The 20,272-nt window shown below is 44.8% G+C and overlaps 1 protein-coding gene and 1 long non-coding RNA gene across 3 annotated transcripts in view, besides 1 other annotated feature; both read right to left on the bottom strand.

Moving 5' to 3' along the window:
• Positions 1 to 20,272, bottom strand: part of CRTC3 (CREB regulated transcription coactivator 3) — a 115,423-nt gene that overhangs the window by 27,374 nt on the left and 67,777 nt on the right. For both annotated transcript variants that reach the window (NM_022769.5, NM_001042574.3), the window contains exons 4-8: positions 15,587 to 15,648; positions 13,525 to 13,587; positions 10,494 to 10,594; positions 3,484 to 3,519; positions 4 to 89 (exon numbers count right to left, since the gene is read on the bottom strand). In NM_022769.5, coding sequence (NP_073606.3) covers positions 4 to 89; positions 3,484 to 3,519; positions 10,494 to 10,594; positions 13,525 to 13,587; positions 15,587 to 15,648 — 348 coding nt within the window. The remainder of the gene's footprint in view (positions 1 to 3; positions 90 to 3,483; positions 3,520 to 10,493; positions 10,595 to 13,524; positions 13,588 to 15,586; positions 15,649 to 20,272) is intronic.
• Positions 17,167 to 18,945, bottom strand: LOC124903554 (uncharacterized). The gene is made up of 2 exons (XR_007064756.1): positions 18,858 to 18,945; positions 17,167 to 17,664 (listed from the first exon to the last, which is right to left on the bottom strand). It is a non-coding gene; the product is annotated as an uncharacterized LOC124903554 (long non-coding RNA).
• Positions 19,481 to 19,775: an enhancer, noted in NCBI's record as "tiled region #4613; K562 Activating DNase matched - State 5:Enh". NCBI's record gives its function as "activates a minimal TATA promoter and a strong SV40 promoter by Sharpr-MPRA in K562 cells {active_cell/tissue: K562}" and the evidence as "EXISTENCE:reporter gene assay evidence [ECO:0000049][PMID:27701403]".

Genomic DNA, 20,272 nt, shown 5'->3' with positions numbered 1-20,272 from the left:
CACCTCCTTGGTCTCCCACAGTTGTTTTGGCAGTGGCTTCGGAACATTTAACAGATTCTCTTCTTTCAATGGGCCAGGGAAAGATGCTACTAAAGGGAAAAAAAAAGCAGCACAGTCATTGCATGAGAAGGCAGGAATCCAGGCCGGGCACGGTGGCTCACGCCTATAATCCTAGCACTTTATGGGGCTGAGGCAGGAGGATCGCTTGAGCCCAGGAGTTTGAGACAAGCCTGGGCAACATAGTGAGACCCCCGTCTCTACAAAAAATTTAAAAATTAGCTGGGTGTGGCGGCTCACACCTGTAGTCCCAACTACTTGGGAGGCTGAGGTGGGAGGTCTCCTTGAGCCTGAGAGGCTGAGGCTGCACTGAGTCATGACGGTGCCACTGCACTCCAGGCTGGGCAACAGAACAAGACCCTGTCCCAAAAAAACAAAGACAACAACAAAAAGAGAAAGCATCCATCCTACCTACCTTTGGCTGAACAAATTATCTTTGTAAAAACTGATTTAACAAATAAAATGTTTGACTTATTTAACACACAAAAATGACTCATTTATGGACTGTCTACTAGGGAAGCCACTTTGGGCACTACTGTGGGAGTTGCAGAAATGAGTAAGACATGGATTCAACCTTTCACGAATGTGTAATCTAGTCAGTGGATAAGGGCAACACATAAATAACGATCACTGAAGGAAAAAACGAGTGGAAGCCCGAGAGAGCCGAGGGTATGATGCTGCTGAGAGATGAAGTGCAGAAGAGGAAGAGGCCAGGAGGGCTTTGGAGCTGGGCACTGGGGGGAGCCCTTTAGAGACACAGGAGAAGGGAATTCCAAGAGAGGGGAAGGTAAGAGTGGAGCAACTCTTTTCAACTGGAGTGTAGGCTGAGTCAAGGGGATGGTAGGAAGTAAAATGTAGACAATTGAGGCCAGGGCAGGGGGGCTCTGCAGGCTTGGCAAAGGAGAGAATGGAAGAAGAGGGATGAGGAGAGAACCTGCAACAACGATGAAATGGGGAAAGTATTGAGAAGAGGAGTATTAGCTGGAAGACATGGTGGCAGTGAAGCTCCTTGGTTGTGGGATGGAAATGGGGGACAAAGAGGAACCAACAACCAAGAGGATCTGAGGCTGGGCAGCTGCCGGGACGGCTGTTGGCTCTTTAATGCTATGAAACAACCTGTATAAAGGGACCATTCCAGGGCTTTCTGCTTTAACTCTCTCAGTCGTGCCAGGTAAAACAAGAATGCTGGGTCACAGAACAAGTAAATACTTTTTATTCTCAGAAAGAGACCAGAAAACAAGGGCCAGCCCTCAGGAGTTAAGTGATCTGATGTCAGGAAGGGGATTCCAAGTTAGGGACACCAGTGACTACTCAGAACCAGGAATGCTGTTGAGTTCCAGTGGCCACAGAAGCTCCAGTGTGACTGTCATGACTATCCTGTCTTAGCCCCACACAAGATGGCCGGGTACCCAAGAATAATGGACCCCAGAAAGAAGTCACATGACACAGGGCCCAAACTTTCCTAGTAAATTTTGAGAAAAGACTTTGAAACAAAAACTCTAAAATAAGTTTATCTTGTATTTAATAAAACTGATGATATAAATGCAGTTGTGGACTTCTAGAATGAATTAAGTATGGGTAGCGGTCTAACTTATTTGACAGCACGGTAAGGGGAGGATACAATGCTCTTCAGGCAACCTGTCCAGTACCACCAGGGCAGCAGTCATTTCTGCTAAACCAGGCCATGCTTTGTCAGTGTTCCCAGGTGTCTCTCTTAATCCTGATATTTACATCACTCTCTTTTGAAGAGCGTATTTTGTCAACATCCTTGTTGATTCTCTTTTCTTCAAATGTTACCTGACTTAATCATTAATATAATGATAATCATTGAGACCAGCCTGGACAATGCGGCAAAATTCCATCTCTACTAAAAATACAAAAAAAAAAATTAGCTGGGTGTGGTGGTGGGTGCCTGTAGTCCCAGCTACTCGGGAGGCTGAGGCAGGAGAATCGCTTGAACCCAGGAGGCGGAGGTTTGCAGTGAGCCGAGGTCACACCACTGCACTCCAGCCTGGCGACAGAGCGAGACTCCGTCTCCAAAAAAAAAATAAAAATAAAAATAAATAAAAATAAATAAAAATTGCCCTGAAAGGTACTGTCAAATGCTGGGAAAAGTTTGAAGGACTGAGTAAGGTGTCATCACACACAGCTCAAGGCTACTTCTCACAAGAGGTTGGTTATAAGAACATGGTTGGGGCAGACTCCAGTGCCTTAATGGGGACTGTTTTCTTAGAGTTCATTGTTTTTAGTCCCTTTTCATATCCAAGATTTGTTGGGAATTCTTCGAAGCACTGAAGGAATGCAGTCAACCTTGAAGCCATTTATTAATTTCTGTTCTAGTGGATTAGATGTTTATTGATGTTTTACCTTTTTGTGATTTTATTCATGGCCTAAAAGGGCTTGCCCAGAAAAGGAGCTGCAGGATGATGACAGAGAGCTGTGCGTCTTGCAAGATGCTCCTCATTCATCATGTCCCCCCTAGGGTCTCACCTCTGTGACATATAAACCTAATTTAGTTGTTTATTTTTAGATTATAAAAATTAAATTCCAGATTATAAAGATTTAGAGAAAAGAAAACAGTCCCTGGTACTGAGTAAATAAATGAACTGTGTCTGACCCTCATTTGTCAATGGCTTTGAGTGTCATTTCCATAGATCTCCAACAATGTTTTAATTGGCTTTACGAAACTCAGTATCTTATGTAAGGTTTGCATTTTCATTTCATAACCAATTTGCATTTTCCTGGCATTGTTATCTGTCAACGAAGACGTTCTAAATGGGTAGACTACTGGAATAACTAATTGTTTAAGTGATCAATTAATTAATTTATTTATTTATTTATTTATTTATTTTTAGACGGAGTCTCGCTCGGTCGCCAGACTGGAGTGCAGTGGCACAATCTCAACTCACTGTAACCTCCGCCTCCCGTGTTCAAGCGATTCTCCTGCCTCAGCCTCCTGAGTATCTGGGACCACAGGCACGTGCCACCACGCCCGGCTAATTTTTGTATTTTTAGTAGAGACGGGGTTTCACCATGTTGGTCAGGCTGGTCTCGAACTCCTGACTTCAAGTGATCCACCTACCTCAGCCTCCCAAAGTGCTGGGATTACAGGCATGAGCCACTGTGCCAGGCCAATTCATTCATATTTTCATGTGATTACAATTTTTGGTTCCTTGCTCAACCTTGTGACTGTGGGGACCTAGATAAAAAGGAACCTTTGTAATGCAACCACATATTTCCTTTCTCCTGGCCCTGAACATGGCTAGCCTTAATTTTCTAGAGGCTCTCTGAAAAGTAAGCCAATCAGCAGTTGTCAGCATTTGGGGGAGTCCTGAAAACATGAATATTTATTAGTAAAGGTATTGAAAGGTTATGTCCACTAATCAGCATCCCACTCCAATATAGGTAGGTAAAATCAGTTCATACCTTCCCCATGTCCATTATTCTCACCATCACAGAAACCTAGCGGGAAAGGAAAAAGAAAAAAAGAAAACACTTTTATGTGGTACTTTCATTTTCATGAATTTATGAATCAGTAACTCTTTATGATTTGAAATAGAATTTTGAAAATTCTAAGGCACTTTTGATACACTGATTTTCATTTAAGGTGCTTTATCATTTATACTAAAAATAGGTATAGCTAATTTGAAACTAAATTTGGTTCCTTTTTCTTTTCCTTTAAAATTGTCTGTCTGAAATTTTCTTACTGTCACTGTCCTGAGAGGAGAACAATTTTTACAAAGCCTGAGAATCTCTATTCAAACCACAAAGTAAAGAAGTATAGATGGAAATTCTCTTCCAAATGCTTCATCATGGGGTTAAGAGCAGGTAACTCAAAAAGCCTACATCACTGTTTGATACTTACCATGGGTGTCTACAGGAACAAATCCGAAGTTTCATGCTGTAGGATATTATATATATTTCTTATGCAGTGAAGTTATTTTAAGAAGAAGATTTATCTGGAGTCTAAGTTAATTTAAAGGGTACATGAGATAGCTATTCACAAAGTTTTAAAACTTTGACTTGGAATAAATTCTGGCTGAATGAAGTATTTTTAATCCATAAATTATACTGCAGATGACAAAGCATAGTATTTCCTATTGCTCTAAGCTAAAACTAAAGAACCGTGCCAAGAATGTAATATCTTAGCATTCCCTTAAGAGCAATCAAATATACCAAATAAGTTTTCAGTACAGAATCAGGATACATTATTATAAAGTTCTAAGCCTTTAAGTATAGCTTACTTACATTTTAGATGAGTTTTTGGCTAAGGTTAACCTATAGGTTAACCTGATTAGTCTATACAATTTGAATGAAATGTCTAATAACCATTCACTCAACCCATATTTAATAAGTTTCTGCATTAAGTGCTAGGTGGGGCCGGGTGATACAGTGTAGGTGAGAAGACAGATCAGGGTAACACGGTAGCACATTCTATAACACAGGTAGAAGATATAACATTTTAACAGAGCCCAGGGGCAACAGGAAGAGTGCCCAGGAATACGAAGAGGTCGATAAATGAAGCAGACACACAAAGACAGAATTTCTTTCAGGCCCACAGAACCAGACTCTAAGTAAGTGACTGAAAGCTTTATTTTACAGCACATAAAGAGCCCTTGGGTGAGCCTGCTAAAATGCAGATTCTTGGGCCCAACCCTCAAAGATTTTGATTCAGAAGGTGTGAGAGTCGGCCAAGGAATCTACATTTTTTTTTTTTTTTTTTTTTTTTCCCGAGACAGAGTCTCACTTTGTTGCCCAGGCTGGAGTGCGGTGGCGTGACCTTGGCTCACTGCAACCTCCACCTCCTGGGCCTCAGCCTCCCCAGTAGTTGGGATTACAGGCGCGTGCCACCAGGCCCGGCTAATTTTTCTATTTTTTGGTAGAGACGGGGTTTCACCATGATGGCCAGGCTGGTCTTAACCTCCTGACCTCAGGTAATCTGTCTGCCTCAGCCTCCCAAAGTGCTGGGATTACAGGTGTGAGCCACCACGCCCAGCCTACATTTTTAATTGTCGTCTCAGGAGACTCTATTGCAGAAGGTCCTTGGCCCATTCTTACTTATCAGCCATTTAACCCATCAAAAGACAGGCAGTGTGAACAGGTGAACACTGAGGTGCAGAGAGAGAAAAGCTGTGGAAGCTGTGGCTCTACAACCAGCAACGTCAAAAGGACAGGAGTTGCGGATTCCTATTTTGGCTTTCCTGAGACCCTCATATTAAGAAAGGGCAGGGAACTTCATTCTGATTACTAAAAAGTGACTATCCTGTTAAAAACTAAAAACTAGGTTTTATATAGCAATCTGGTATGGCGTGCTGAAGCATCTCTTCATCATCAAGACACCAGTCACTCGAGGTTTAATTATTAAGCCTGACCTGTCCCTGAAACATGAGGACTCAACTGAGGGCTACCATGTGAAACTGCCTGAGTGGCTGGCAGATACCCCATGTGACAGCCCCATTAGTGCATGCTCTCCTCAGACTGGAACAGAAGGAAGGCTTCATGGAGTAGGTGGCACCTGAGGCGCCATTCATTGAAGGATAATGGTGAAGAAGAGGATAACCAACAGCCAACCTGACTGCTCACTTACTATGTGCCAGGCGCTTTACACAGGTGATCTCATGGGATCCCCACAGCAACTCTGCGACGTAGATGCTATTATCATCCCCAAGATCACACTGCTAGTAAGTTCTGGGACTAGAACTCTGGCCCGTGTGTCTTCAGAATGTTCATGTCCCTAACCAATTTGCTGTAGTACCTGGAAGATTTAGACAACCGGAAGCGAAGCTGAAGGGGATGCCCAGTGTGAGGAGGAGGCAGAGGCGGAGGAGGAGGCGGAGGAGGAGGAGGAGGTGGAGGCGGAGGAGGAGGAGGAGGAGGAGGAGGAGGAGTGGGGGGTGGTTGGGGAAGGATAAGAAGGAGAAGGAAGATGGAAGAGTGTGGCTGCAGCACATGGTGGGAGGACTGGGAGATGGGCTGGACCGAAGCAGGCTGCTGGTCATTTGGCAGGATGTAGGGGATGGAAGGTTTCAGTTGGAGAAGTGACATGATCAGAGTTAAGCTTCAGAGACTGCTCTTGCAGCAGAGTAGGAGGTGGATTGAAAGGAGAAAGCCTTAAGGCAGGGAGGCCGACTAGAAAACCAATGCAATAGTCCAAGGCAAACAGGAACCAAGTAGGATACTGGCAGTGAGGACAGAAAACCAGAGGCAGATTTGAGACATACTGCTGGGATAAAATGAACAGGACTCGGCTACTGAATGGGCGTAGGGGCATGGGAATGGGAGTAATCAGATGCAACTCTCAGGGTCTGGGCTGCGGTGACCAGAAGGATGGTGGTGGCAATGACTGATATACTGGCACCAAGCTAACATATCATCAAAATATCCAAGCCTGGATTTTTACTGCTAAATTAAAAACCCACAAGATAGCACTACAAATAAAGGGTTAAAAAGAAAAAGGAATGAGTTGTGACTGGCTCTCTGGAAACAGGACACTAATTTTATCAGTCCCACAGGGATGGGACAGCGATGACCAAGGCTGCAACTGTGTTCCAGGAAACCTCAGAGCCACCGAGGGCCGGTCTCTTCTAACTAAGGGAACCGAGACCATGTTCCTTCTGTGTGCTCCCATGCCTGGCAAATCTAAAATAACTCCCTACACAGCCTTGATTTGCTAAGTAGAAGGGAAGGCAAGGGGAAGACCCCTTAACCATTGTCCTAAAGGAGGCCTCTGGTGTTTCAGCCTCCCCACTCTGGGCCCTCCTGTCCCTGGGTGACACTCTTTTTGCCCCTCTTCAGATCTGGGATGCTTGTACCTGCCACTGTACCCCCGCCCAATCCATGCAATTAACAGGCTTACATCTTTCAAGGTTCTTTGCATTGTAAACCTTCTCCTTAACTCTGCAGGTCAAAGCTTATTGGCAGGTGAAAGGTCACCAGGTCCAAGGCATGCCAAGCCCCCTCCACGCTAAGGAGCTGAGTACTGTGGTCCCCAAAGATGGCAATATTCAGCATCTACAGCCCTGGATGCAGAGAAGACACCTATTACGCACTCTGCTCCCCTTAGCTCTAGACTGTTCCCTGAAAGGAAGAGACCACCCCAGTCCCTCCTCCACATGCCCGATGTCAGGAGGGGTGTTAGGAGACAGTCCTAGGCTATGGGACAGGGCACGTGTCCCACAGAGTCCTGTGCTTCCCTATCTGCATGTAAGTGTGAAATGGTCATTAAGGTGCACATGCTGCCAGGGAAATGGCCAACATTCCCTCTTTATAGATTCTGAATAATTAAACAAAAAGAGAGAAATTATAAAAATCCTGTTTGGTTCCATAAAAATTTATTTCTGTCATTTATACCAACTGCTTATCATTTATGCCTAATTGTCATGGAACTCAATAGCTATTATGAAAATTACTCAACATGTATCAGGCTTTGTCTTCTTGTGACACAAATCTCCACTCATGAATGTATCATAGTTTATTGCTCATGTAGTTAAGCCGTGAGCAGATGCTCTCCTCATGGGCTCACAGCAACAGCAACAACAATAACAAAAAAGTGTGGCTGCATCATTCTGCCTAGGAGAGATTCCCAGGGAAAGAAGAGTTATTATTGCTTCGAACATAGAACCCAGTTCTGGGCTTCAATTATATTTTCCCATCACTGTTTAAATCTTTCTTTGGTTGGTCCTATAAGAAATACCTTTTTGCAAAGCCAGTTGATAGTTTTAAAATCCAAAAGGAAAGAAAATGAAAAACTTTAATGAAACACAGGAGGAAAATACATGAAACTATTTAAAATAGCTCCCACCAACAAATATAATTCTCCAGAAATAATTTCCATCCTTGGAGACTTGAATAATATTTTAAACACTGGCTTTCCCATGTAAACACATCCATATTAGGATGTGTTTCTGAGTTCTGCTATACTTGCAAGGCAACTGCAGGAGCAGGCACACAGTTCAGACATCTGAGTTGGAGGCCAGCCCACCCTCCATGGTTGTCAGATATTGTAGCCCAACAATTTCTAACTGCTGATTTGAAAAGGAGAGACCACCACGATTCTCAAGTCAACGCAGGAACCCTGATCCAGGATTTCTTTCTTTCTTCCTGTTTTTCTCATTGCTCTGTCTACCTGGACCAATGTTTACATTCCTTTGCTTTTCTTATTCCATCCTCACTTACCCCTTCTGACATTTCTCACCTCTTCTCTCAGAGGCTACATCGCTAAGAATGAATACTTCAGCTCAGGTAATTTCTTTCTTCAGTTACTTTCTTTTTCTTAGCATGCAAGCCTCAAAAAATCCTCACTTGAATTACCTGTGATTGCCTTGTTTCTCTAGGCCTTTGGCCCTTTCTAGAGAAGTGTAAACTTTGCAGAGGGTAATGTAAATGAAGGATCGGCAGAGGCAGAAATGCAGGAGCTCCAGGGTAAAAATCTGTCTGTCTAGCTGGCTCCCGGTCCATGGAGATTAGGATCCTGCTGTGCTCACAGGCACCCCCACTGATTACAGCCTCTGCTTTTTTTAGGCTTTGTTTACATATTCCCATCTCTACCTATCCTGAAACTAAACTCATCCCTCTTCCCACACACCCCACTCCTCTAAGCAGTGAGCAGTGCACCCATATCCAATTCCAACATCAATTTCAACATCACTGCCAACTTTCATATTCCCATGTATGGAAGCATGGGTAGATGTCCCTAACCAATTCTGAAAGCTCCCATAGTTTACAAGCAAACAATCATTTAAGCAAATGTAGTCTTCTCTGAATTGCACCAATAGAACAAATATAGCAACAATTATTATTCAGTACTATCCCTGCTATATACAAAGAAATACGATCATAAGTGTTCTCCTGGAAGGAACAGAGGCCATTTAGGCTTTAAATTGTCCAAAAAGCAAAGAAAACCAGAAAAGCTGGTTTCTTGGCTAAAGATTTATTTATTCCTGTTTCAAGAACAAATACACAGCCCTGAAAGTTTCTGGGCAAGAGTCAATCTGCATATGGAATGGATAATTCAAGACCATTGTTCTTTCTAGATTATAAACCCCAGAAAGGTAGGCTTGAAATGTGTCTGAATGACCAGCCTCACTTCATGTACAGGTCAGGTGCCAGCACCGAGAGGGTGTTTTGGCAAATGCCGTGCACATGTGAGCCAGTGTGTGATTCTTCACACTTCTCCATCAGTACGGGCTCCTCTGTGCCGGGCACTGTGCTAGGGGCTGGAGAGAACAAGACCATTAAGATGCTGCCTTCAAGAAATCTACACTGAGCAGAGAAAGAGATGCATGTTCACATAAAAAAGCAGCCAAGCATTGCAGGTGCTAAGAGAGCAGTCTGGGATGTTAGAAGGACACGATAACTCTGAGCTGAGAGGAAGGAAGGTCAAGGATGGCTCCACAGACATGAGGACACACACAAGCTGAGGCTTACGGATGGAGAGGGTGCTGGCCAGGAGTGAGAGAGAGAGGAAGAGACAGGAACAGGAAGAAACACCAGTAGAACCCAAAGTGGTTCGCATGGCTACCTTGGGTGTGAGGCGGGGGAGCAGAGAGAAAAGGGAGAGAGGCAGACAGGAGCCAGGCCTTGGGGCTCATGTCATTCCAAAGAAGATCTGGGCTCTTTCTCCTGAAGGTGAGGGGTGGCACTGAGGATTTTAAGTGGGAGAGCAAGATGATCAGGTTTGGGTTCGCTCTGGAAGCAGAGCTGTGAGATGGCATGAGTGGGCCTCTTCCCCACTCCGGGTTACTCCTGGCCTCTCTCCATCCCCTTACTCACAGTGGCCAGGGGGCAACTGAGCAGGTGATGCACAGTTCCAGCCCGACCTCCTCTTCCCCCATCTCAAGGCAGCAGGCCTCTGCTCCACCCTCCCTCCCCGAGGCTTGCCTGACCCCTCCTCCCAGGGGACCACACTGGCCAGTGCTGCCAGCCACTCAGGGGGAGTCAGCCTCATGCTGGGGTTCAGTCTCAGCAGGCCCACCAACCTACAGAGACAGTCACTTCCTCCAACCTGGTCTTAGTAGTAATAAAGGTGATATCTAGCTCTGACTGTCACTTCTAGTTGTATTTCTCAGTTTGTTCAGATCCTGGGTGGGGAAAGAGGACTCTTGGGGAACTTAACATAAAACTGGATTGAAGGGATGTGAGACTGGAAATCAGGAGACCAGTCAGGAAGTTATTAGAAGATGACGGGTGCCCAGAAGAGGGCCAAGAGACACCAAGAGGGAGAGCGTGCTGTGGAGGAAGCAGGGCAGAGGCAGGGGACGCTGGGAGCTCCATCCATCCTGACTGCATCATGGACACACACGCTTCCCTGCCACGAGCTGCCTCTCTAAGATCACTGAACCGGGAAGCGCAAACACCACTTCAGCTTCTCTCTCCCTTGGTTCCTAGGACAGAATGAGCAAGCACAGCTGCTGTCAGCAGTGGCCTGTGTGTCTTACCCATGTATGGGGCAGGCCAGGCCGACTGGCCCCCTCCTCCATAGGGGTCCTGGGGCTTGGTACTCAGAGCACTCGTGTGAAGAGCAGAATCAGAATTGGTCCTAAGGAGGGGAGGAGAGAGGCTGGCTGAAAATCCGTTTTCCTTAGTGAAAATGCAATAGTCTTTGTTGAATATTACCAACAGGAAAGAAGGCAAGAATAACTGATTTATAATCAACCATCAAATAAGGGGTTAGGACCTACCTGAAGTTCTTTATATCAATTAACAGCCTCTGAGGATCGCCCACACTCCAGAATATTTTAACTTAGACTCATATAGCCTTATATGCTGAAGCTGATGGCATGGCGATCAAGTTCAACAAGGTGGGCCTCGGATTCATGGCTTCCGTCTAAGAGCTTCCTATTCTTCCCAGCTCGGAAGCTGGCTGTGGCCAGTTTAGCCTGTGGCTGCACTAGGTTTTCTCCACCTGAGAGTAGCTGTTTCTAAGTAAAGGATCACTTAGAGCAGTGGTTTGCAAAACCCTTCCAGGGAGAAGGTAAGATCAAGACTATTCTCAAAATGATAGTAAAGTGTCCTCTGTTTTTTCACTCTCGCTCTCTCCCAAGCACGGCGGGCTTCCCCAGCGGCCACGTGAGGTGTGATGCCCCCACCGCTGAGCGCAGGCACAGACCACCCAGCTGCCTTGGAGGGATTTGTAAAAGGTGAACATTGTCACTATTTTCAATACTTTTTTTGTGTTTCTTTTCAAAAAGATATAATTTATGTTAACATGTAATGGGCTTATTATTTTTTTAATTCACTAGTATCTTTAAAAAATCTCTCAGTTTAATTTCTAATATCAATAGATATTCTCACATAAACAAATACTCTTTGAGGGCCTCAATATTTTTTTTATTTTATTTTATTATTTTTTTCTGAGACAGAGTCTCGCTCTGTTGCCCAGGCTGGAGTGCAGTGGTGTGATCTCGGCTCACTGCAACATCTGCCTCCCGTGTTCAAGAAATTCTTCTCCCTCAGCCTCCCGTGTAGCTGGGATTATAGACGTGCGTCACCATGCCCAGCTAACTTTTGTATTTTTAGTAGAGACGGGGTTTCACCATGTTGGCCAGGCTGGTCTCGAACTCCCGACCTCGGGTGATCCACCTGCCTCAGCCTCCCAAAGTGCTGGGATTACAGGCATGAGCCACTGTGCCTGGCCTATTTTATTTTATTTTACTAGTGTTACTTTTTGAGATGGAATTTCACTCTTGTCGCCCAGGCTGCAGTACAGTGGTGTTCACTGCAACCTCTGCCTCCCGGGTTCAAGCGACTCTCTCGCCTCAGCCTCTCAAGTAGCTGGGATTACAGGAACCCGCTACCATGCCTGGCTAATTTCTGTATTTTTAGTAGAGACGGTGTTTCACCATGTTGGCCAGGCTGGTCTTGAACTCCTGACCTCAGGTGATTCGCCCGCCTTGGCCTCCCAAAATGCTGGGATGACAGGCATGAGCCACTGCGCCAGGCCTCCATGTTTTTTAAGGCTGTAAAGTAGTCCTAAAAGAAAATGTGGGAGCCACTAATGTATAGCAAATTTCTGAAATTCTCCCAGATAGCTTCAATGTCTACACAGCTTTGGTTGCAAGAGATGATTATCTATTTATCTCATCATAAGGTCAAACTGTCGGCCATAGAAAGGACTTTACGGTAAGCAACTTCATTAGCCTACAGTGCTTCTTTGTGGTTCATTCCAGTGACAGCCTCAGGTGGCTATGAAGCCACGTGGCTTCAGAGGAGGGAAGAGGCAGACAAGGGCAGAACCCACAGTGCAACAGAAAGAGCGTGGCCGCTGAGATCAGAGAGACCTGGGTTCAGATTCCAGCCTCTTTTTACAGATTCAAAGAGACTCAAGAGAATATCAAACGAATGCAGAGCCAACTGGGAAAATCTAAATACCGACCAGGCATTGAATTATATTAAGGAGTTATTTTTAATTTTGTTAAGTGTAATAGCGGCATTGTGGTTATGTTTTTTAAAAAAGGTTCTCGTCGGCCTTAAACTGCTGGAGACATTTCAAGGTACAATACTATACTAGCCAGTCACGGGACTGAGGTGGGAGGTAGGTTTGGAGAGACTGGCAGAATGCTGATAATGAGTGAAGCTGAGGATGGGCACCACAGGCCTTTTATAACTCTTCTGTTTGAGTATATTTAAAATTTTGCACCATTCATCGGGTTTCTTTTTTATTTTGAGACAGCGTCTCTCTCTTGCCCAGGCTGGAATGCAATGGCGCAAACATGGCTCACTGCAGCCTCAACCTCCTTGGGCTTAGGTGATCCTCCCCACCTCAGCCTCCTGAGTAGCTCGAACCACAGGCACGTGCCACCACGCCTTTTTTTTTTTCATAGAGACAGGGTCTCACCATCTTGCCCAGGCTGGCCTCAAACTGCTGGACTCACACGATCCTCTGGCCTCAGCCTCCCAAAGTGTTGGGACTATAGGCGTGAGCCACCATGCTCAGCTGCATTTTTTCAAATCCTAGTCCTTCACCTATTAGCTAAGGCCCTTAAACAAGTCACTTAACCTTTTAGAATGGAAAATAATACTCATTCTTGTAGGGTGTTGTCAGGATTGAAAAAAAATGGCTGAGGTAGAACTCTTACTCCTGGAGTCTGGCCCAAAGTGATCATGATAATAGCTGATGTTTATTCAGCACATATGCTTCCCAGGTATTATCTTATTCAACCCTCACAACCAACCCATGATCTAGGTAGCATTATCTCCATTTTTCAAATGAGTAAACTGAGGCAATCAGAAGTTTAAAAATCTACTCAAGGTCATACAGCAAGATGCAAACCCTGGGAGTCTCATCCCAGACCTCGTGTGCTCTATACTTTCCCCTGTAGACACTCAAAAAATGGTGGGTTTTGTTTTGAACATGTCATATCAACACAGCTTACATAAACACACTCTGGCAACTGGATGCTATGTAAAAAATATCAGGACAGTTAAATTGCTTTAAAATCTACTCCTACCAGGAAACAACCCATGTACCTGTTAAGTGCAGATGTCAGCCTGAACCCAGGATGCTTTTCGTCTTTCCAAGGAGGCTGCTGCCTTTAAAAACCAGAACAACATAAAAGGAAAAGAAGTCAATCCACAGACAGCAAAGGAGGGCCTCAGCACTTGCATTTGAGAACTGGCTCTTCTACTCACCTCGCTCTGCAAGAGTTACTTAAAAATACCCCACACCTCGCTCATTTTGCTCATCATTGTTAAAATGAGGTAAGACTCCATGATCCTTCCAGTCCTGTGATCTCTGATTTCCAGTATAAAAACTACTACAAACCCATAAGGCACAGGATTAGCTAGCTGGGCAGATGAGGAGTTCAGTGTGCATGTAGGGGGCGCCGTGGCAATCTTGGATGCAAAAATTTTGCATTCCCCTACCAATGGCCATGAAGAGGAATAGAATTGTTACAGTTGCCCAGGGTATGAAAATATTAAGTCTAACCAGTCCTGGTGCTCTGAAAAGCAGAAGACATTTCTTGGATACATAAAAGAAAAATAACAGTTTGGAGATGACTTTTACTGATGTAATAAAATATTGTATTTATTCTACAACCCTGGATCCCAAGATTCTTGAGGGCAGCTGAAAACCTACCTGAGGTGGGGACCCACTGTTACCCATCTTTATTTCCTTTCCCAGATCCAGACTACATTATACACAGTAAGTTCTCAGTCAGTATTTGCCCAGAGAATGGATGGAGAGTAGACTTCAATCCGGAGAGCTAAATATTTTTGATACACACATTTTAAATGTGTCCTAAATCTGACTTGGTGATCTGAAAATGATACTAGGCACACAACAGATGCAGCAGGGGCTTTTTCTCAGTTAATTCTATTTCCTGTTACCCTCTGTATTGGGTACAAAAATACTCAAAGAGACCTTAAATCAAATACACTGTGCAAATTACCATTTTAAGAGTCTTTTGTCCTTTTCAGCAGCTTACTAAGACACTCTGAGAAAAGATGCTTATTTTTCTTTCTTTTTTTTTTGAGATGGAGTCTCGCTCTGTCACCCAGGCTGGAGTGCAGTGGCGTGATCTCGGCTCACTGCAAGCTCCGCCTCCTGGGTTCACGCCATTCTCCTGCCTCAGCCTCCCGAGTAGCTGGGACTACAGGCGCCTGCCACCACGCCCGGCTACTTTTTTGTATTTTTAGTGGAGACGGGGTTTCACCGTGTTAGCGAGGATGGTCTCGATCTCCTGAGCTTGTGATCTGCCCGCCTTGGCCTCCCAAAGTGCTGGGATTACAGGCATGAGCCACCGTGCCTGGCCAAGATGCTTATTTTTCTAAGTCTCAAACATAAGAATGCCATATCTGAGTATTCTGCTGGTAAATATATTCCAAAAGTGTTTCTATTTGGTTTTAAATATGAAGATCTAGATTTCTTTAAATAACTTTTCATTTTAGACTTTCATATTAGCCTATCATTGGAAATGCTTAGGTGTTTGTTTTTGTTTTTTGAGATGGAGTCTCACTCTGTTACCAGGCTGGAGTGCTGTGGCGTGATCTCAGCTCACTGCAACCTCCGACTCTCTGGTTCAAGCAACTCTCCTGCTTCAGCCTCCCAAGTAGCTGGGATTACAGGCATGTGCTGTCATGCCCAGCTAATTTTTGTATTTTTAGTAGAGACGGGGTTTCATGATGTTGGCCAGGATGGTCTCAATCTCCTGACCTTGTGATCTGCCCGCCTCAGCCTCCCAAAGTGCTGGGATTACAGGCATGAGCCACCATGCCCGGCCAATAAGGTGTTTTGTTGTTGTTGTTGTTGTTGTTGTTGTTTTGTTTGTTTGTTTGTTTTTAAGAGATGGCGTCTTGCTATGCTGCCCAGGCTGGAGTGCAGTAGCTATTCACAGGCCCCATCATCGCACACAACAGCCTCAAAACTCCTGGTCTCAAGTGATCCTCCCACTGAAATTAAATGTTATAAGAGAAAACAGGATTCTATGCTTTATATTAGAAATTTCTAAACAACATTCAAAGTGGATAAAGTGAAATTATCTAAAAATAACACATGCCCATCATATCTTTTAAAGTATGTCTTGCTTACCTTGGCCAACTCTCATCCAGAGGCTGTGAGGAATAATTGGCTCCAAAAGCACTACCATCAAAGTAGAATTTTTAATAAAGGAAAAATAAAAATTAATGGAAAGATGAAGCAGAATTAACAAGGTGGACTCACAGAGAGTTAAACAACTGAGTTTTTGGTTCCTTATCCCTGTACCTGACAGCTCTTCCTTCATGCTTTCTCTTATCTCCCTCCTTGAGGACAAGTCTATTCTGCTGTCTTCTAACCGGTGTTTTCTTTGCATGATTTTTTGTGGGGTGTTTATTATTTTTTGCCTGTCCGGCAACTTTTGTTTTCAGGAACTGTCTCCACTCTTGCTCCAAACCTGGTAACACTGCCATTCCCTCTGTGCCACATGTGAGGGACCCAGGCCCAGGATTCTAGTCTAGGTACCTCACCCCCTGGAAACAGTGTTTGGCTCAGGGATCGGCTCACGACGCAAACAGAACCAAGGAGAGTGCTTTTGAGTGGAAAAAAAAGGAGTGCCCCAATAGGGCTGGTAAGCCCAAGGGCCGTCTGAACCTGGGGGTCTTCACCTTGGAGAAAGCCTGTCTGTTATGCCTGAAGTCATCTCAGAAGTGGTACCACAGAGGTAGGTCTCAATGACATTGTATGACCCCTTGGATCTAGCCCTTGGGCTTCCAGTGACATATGCCAATACATTTTCTTTTTTTAAGTTAAGGTGGGTTCCTGGTACTTATTTATTTTTTGAGACGGAGTTTCACTCTTTTTTTTGGCCCAGGCTGGAGTGCAATGGCGCAATCTCGGCTCACTGCAACCTCCACCTCCCAGGTTCAAGCAATTCTCCTGCCTCAGCCTCCCGAGTAGCTGGGATTACAGGCATGCGCCACCACACCCGGCTAATTTTGTATTTTTTTTAATTAGAGACAGGGTTTCTCCACGTTGGCCAGGCTGGTCTTGAACTCCTGACCTCAGGTGATCCACCCACCTCGGCCTCCCAAATTGCTGGGATTAGAGGTGTGAGCCACTGCGCCCGGCGGTTCCTGGTATTTATAACCAAAAAAGAGGCGCATTAGATGTGTGAAGAAAGGTAAACTTTCCAGTGTTGTTGGGGGCACTGTCTTATCAGTCTTGTGTTGTTCACTGGGTCTACCATGCCTTGGAGCATATTCTGGACGCACGGAGACACAAATGGGATGCTGCACTACACACCGAGCAGAGGGGCGCTGTTTTCATTCGTTTAGTTAATTGTTCCCACACAATAGCCTTCTGAAGACACTGTTAATCATATTATTCTGCTAAGAAATCTTCAATGATTTTGTTCAGCCTAAAAGGCAAAATCAAAACTTACTGGCTTAGTAATTGCGGTGATCCACAATTTGGGGACAATGGTCTCTTCTGCTCTTGTCTTCCCTCCAGCTTTCTGAGTTCCACAAACACAGCCTGTATTTTCCTGCCCCTCTGCCTTTGCTAAGGCCATTTCCCCTTTCTCACCTCCTATGTGGAAGGTTGCCTCCTTATCACTCACCCAAACCAAGCCCATTCCTTTTGTCTCCTGGATCACTGATTGGATTAAATATACATTCGGCAGTTACCAATAATACTTTTCATCCCAAACTTTTATTTCTTAAGGTGGAAATAATAAAGAAGATACAAACTACACATTAAGACAGAAATTTGAAAACAGATATCTAAGCACCTACTGTGTGCCAGGCCTGTGCTGAGTTCACACTTTATTTAACCTCAATCCTGAGAGGCAGATATTTTCCCCATTTTATAGCTGAAGAAACTGAGGCTCAGTTCTAGAAGAGCTGAGAAATCCAAGATCAGATAGCACGCCTGGTGGATCAGGGGTCAGACCCACAAATCACTGACACCAAAGCCTGAGAGCTCTCCGCTAAGCTATGCTGCCTCTCAGGAAACAGTGAACTATGCCAAATGCCCCCAGAAAATAGAAAATAGTACCTGGAGTGTTCTGGGAAGGATGGAGGCTATAAGAGAAGGTACCATCTGCTCGGGCTCAGGAGGAAACAGGAGCCTTGATGGAGTGGGGCCCTATCCTGCAGGCCTGGGCTGGGCAGCTCAAATAAATACAGAATCTGGAATTAGGAAAACGGAGGCTCTCATGAGTTCTTAGTGATTTGGTGGGAAATGTCTTCTTTGCCAGGAGAGGCATTAGGATTGCAAGTTTCATCTTCTATGTATTCGTTTTCTTTGACAAGTCTCATTATCTTATTTCTTAATTTGACCTTAAATCAATAAAATAAAACAGATAATTTCCAAAGAGAGACATTTCTTCAACATTCACTATTAGGCTTAAGGTACATGAAGTACAGATGAGGCAAGACCACAGTAGGAGGTAGGAGAGGAAAAGGTGATAAATAGTAAGGCCCGTGACAGACAAAACCTGTCAGTATTTCTGTTGGCAAAGCCATTAGGGAGGAAACACCGAGCCTCAGAACCTACGGTTATCTGCCTTTCTCTTTTCTGCAGATTTGATGAATCTCTGTTCAGAAACGCTTAATTTCAGGAAGTAGAAGTTTACCATTTTTCTCAGTACACTGCCATCTTTAAACTCAGTATCTCTGATCTCATAGTACTGATAATACAAATTAGAATGCAGTGGTGTAATAGTCACGTAATCATCAAACGCTGGTGATTTCAATGTTGAGGTGTAAGTTAGCATTTTAACCTTCCTGATATTAACAACATGAAAATATAGTAAATTCCTGGAAATTTTTAATATAATTAGGTTGAGGCATCAAAAGTTGAAAGATGTGACCTCTGAGCTCTCTTAATTTTCACTCTCATCTAATTTAGTGGATATTTGAAAACCCAAGAGAACCACTCATGTTATACACTTATACTTAATGCAAGGAAAATCTAGAAGAAGTTTATTTGTTCTTTGGAAAACTTCAGAAAACTTCATTCAGGTGGCTTTAAACTACTCCACAACACTGACATGCCCTAAGTAACAACCTCGAGACAAAGGAAACACTCTTATTTATAAACTTGAATTTACCATTTACTCAAGAAACATTTCTGGCATCCCTGCCAGGTGCCAGCGTGCCAGCGGAAGGGCAGCACAGGTCACAGGGCTTTTAACAACCACATCAGCGCCTCCTCCATTGCTTCCTTAGTTAAGCTTAGTGAAGCCTTTGGCTCAAGGAAGATTTCCACATTAAAAAAGGAAGGCAGGGAGGAGGGATGATGAAAAAGATAAACAAAGAAGAGGTGGCTGCAATGGATGGAAACAAAAATTAAAGTTAAAAAAAAAAATCCCCACACTCACATGGATCTTTTCTTATCCCTCTGTGCACTCCTTTCCGCCCCTTTGCCTTCCGTCCTGATGTTCCCTGGGGTCCTGTGGCCTCGCAGCCTCAGGCCACACCTGCCTGCATTGCTCTGAGAGGCAAAGGATGCTCTCAGGATCCCTGGGCACCAGGCAGAGTGTGAGCAGGTGGAGGGGGTGGCGGGAGCCTCCGGGCACAGGAGCTTTAGGAGGCGCTTCCTAAGAGCCTCAGGGCCAGTGCCCGTCTTCCTGGTAGAGAGCCCCTGTCCTCCATGCTCGCCTTGGCCAATCGCATCCTTCCCTCGGCCCCACTGTCACCCACAGTCCAGTAACTCATAAATCGACACCTCCAGCTCCCAACAGTTCTTTTGTGAACTCCAAGTGCATACTTCCAACTGCCTACTCAAGTTCTCTGCCAAAAGTACCCAAGACAGCTCAAATTCTACCAAAAATCCAACCAATCACTGTCCCCTTAATCTGTTCCTCTTCTTATAGTCCATCTCATTTAGTGAGGCCACCGTCCACCAAGACACTCATGTTAGGATCTCAGAGTCATCCCAGTGTGTTCTCTCTCTCCCCAAGCCTCTGCAGTTCTGTGCAGGAAAATCTTCCTCCTCGAGTTACTGCCTCAATCCATCAACACAGGGACTGCTGTTCCTCTCAACCTGTGGAGTGTTAGAGGGAACAGTTCTTACTCTTCACCAAAGGAAGGGGAGCAGCTCTTCTTCTTCTGATAAGAGAGGACATCAGTTGGCCAGTTTACCAGTGGGTGGGGTTACTGAGCCACAGAAGCTGAAAACAAGACCCGCCCTGGCCCTTTCTTTGTGCTGCTTGACCTGCGGCTGGGTGAGCAGGCCCAGGGTTCCCTTCTCTTGGCTTCCCGTCCCTGTGCGGTCAGTGTACCTGGGCAGGGCTCAGGAACTGCCTTGTCGGGGCAGCCTGGAAGCCAGTCATTTCTCTCCTGCTCTGGAACTCTGTGTTCTGCCAGGGACACAGTTTGTGGGGCAGGCCTGAGACCTTCCATGTAGCTGGTGGGGTAAGTGGGCTCGGAGTCTGGTTAACAGAACCCACCTACCAAGACAAGTTTCAGGGTCAGATTTAATATATAAAACTGGCCACAATTTGGCTCCTTCCTGATTGCTCAGCCATGTGTTTATTGTCATTCTACTTCTTTTTGTCCCTTTACCTCTAACTATGTCCCACTAGAAGACATCTTAAAGTGAAACTGTAAGGGAGGATATGAGTGGCATCTTTTTGAGTCCTTGCATTTATAAGAACATCCTGTTTCCCTCAGCAAATGAGAGGCAAACAGGTTGCATGTGGTATTGTGAAGTCAGAATATTTCCCCCTTAAAATTCTAAAGACCAATGTTTCCTTGTCCTTCAAGATAAGACGGGTGTTAGGTAACAGTTGGA

The sequence above is a fragment of the Homo sapiens genome, chromosome 15, assembly GCF_000001405.40.
Source record: "Homo sapiens chromosome 15, GRCh38.p14 Primary Assembly".
NCBI classification, from domain to species: domain Eukaryota; kingdom Metazoa; phylum Chordata; class Mammalia; order Primates; family Hominidae; genus Homo; species Homo sapiens.
The sequence above is the reverse complement of the archived record's forward strand: the minus strand, read 5'-3'. Positions and strand labels throughout refer to the sequence as shown.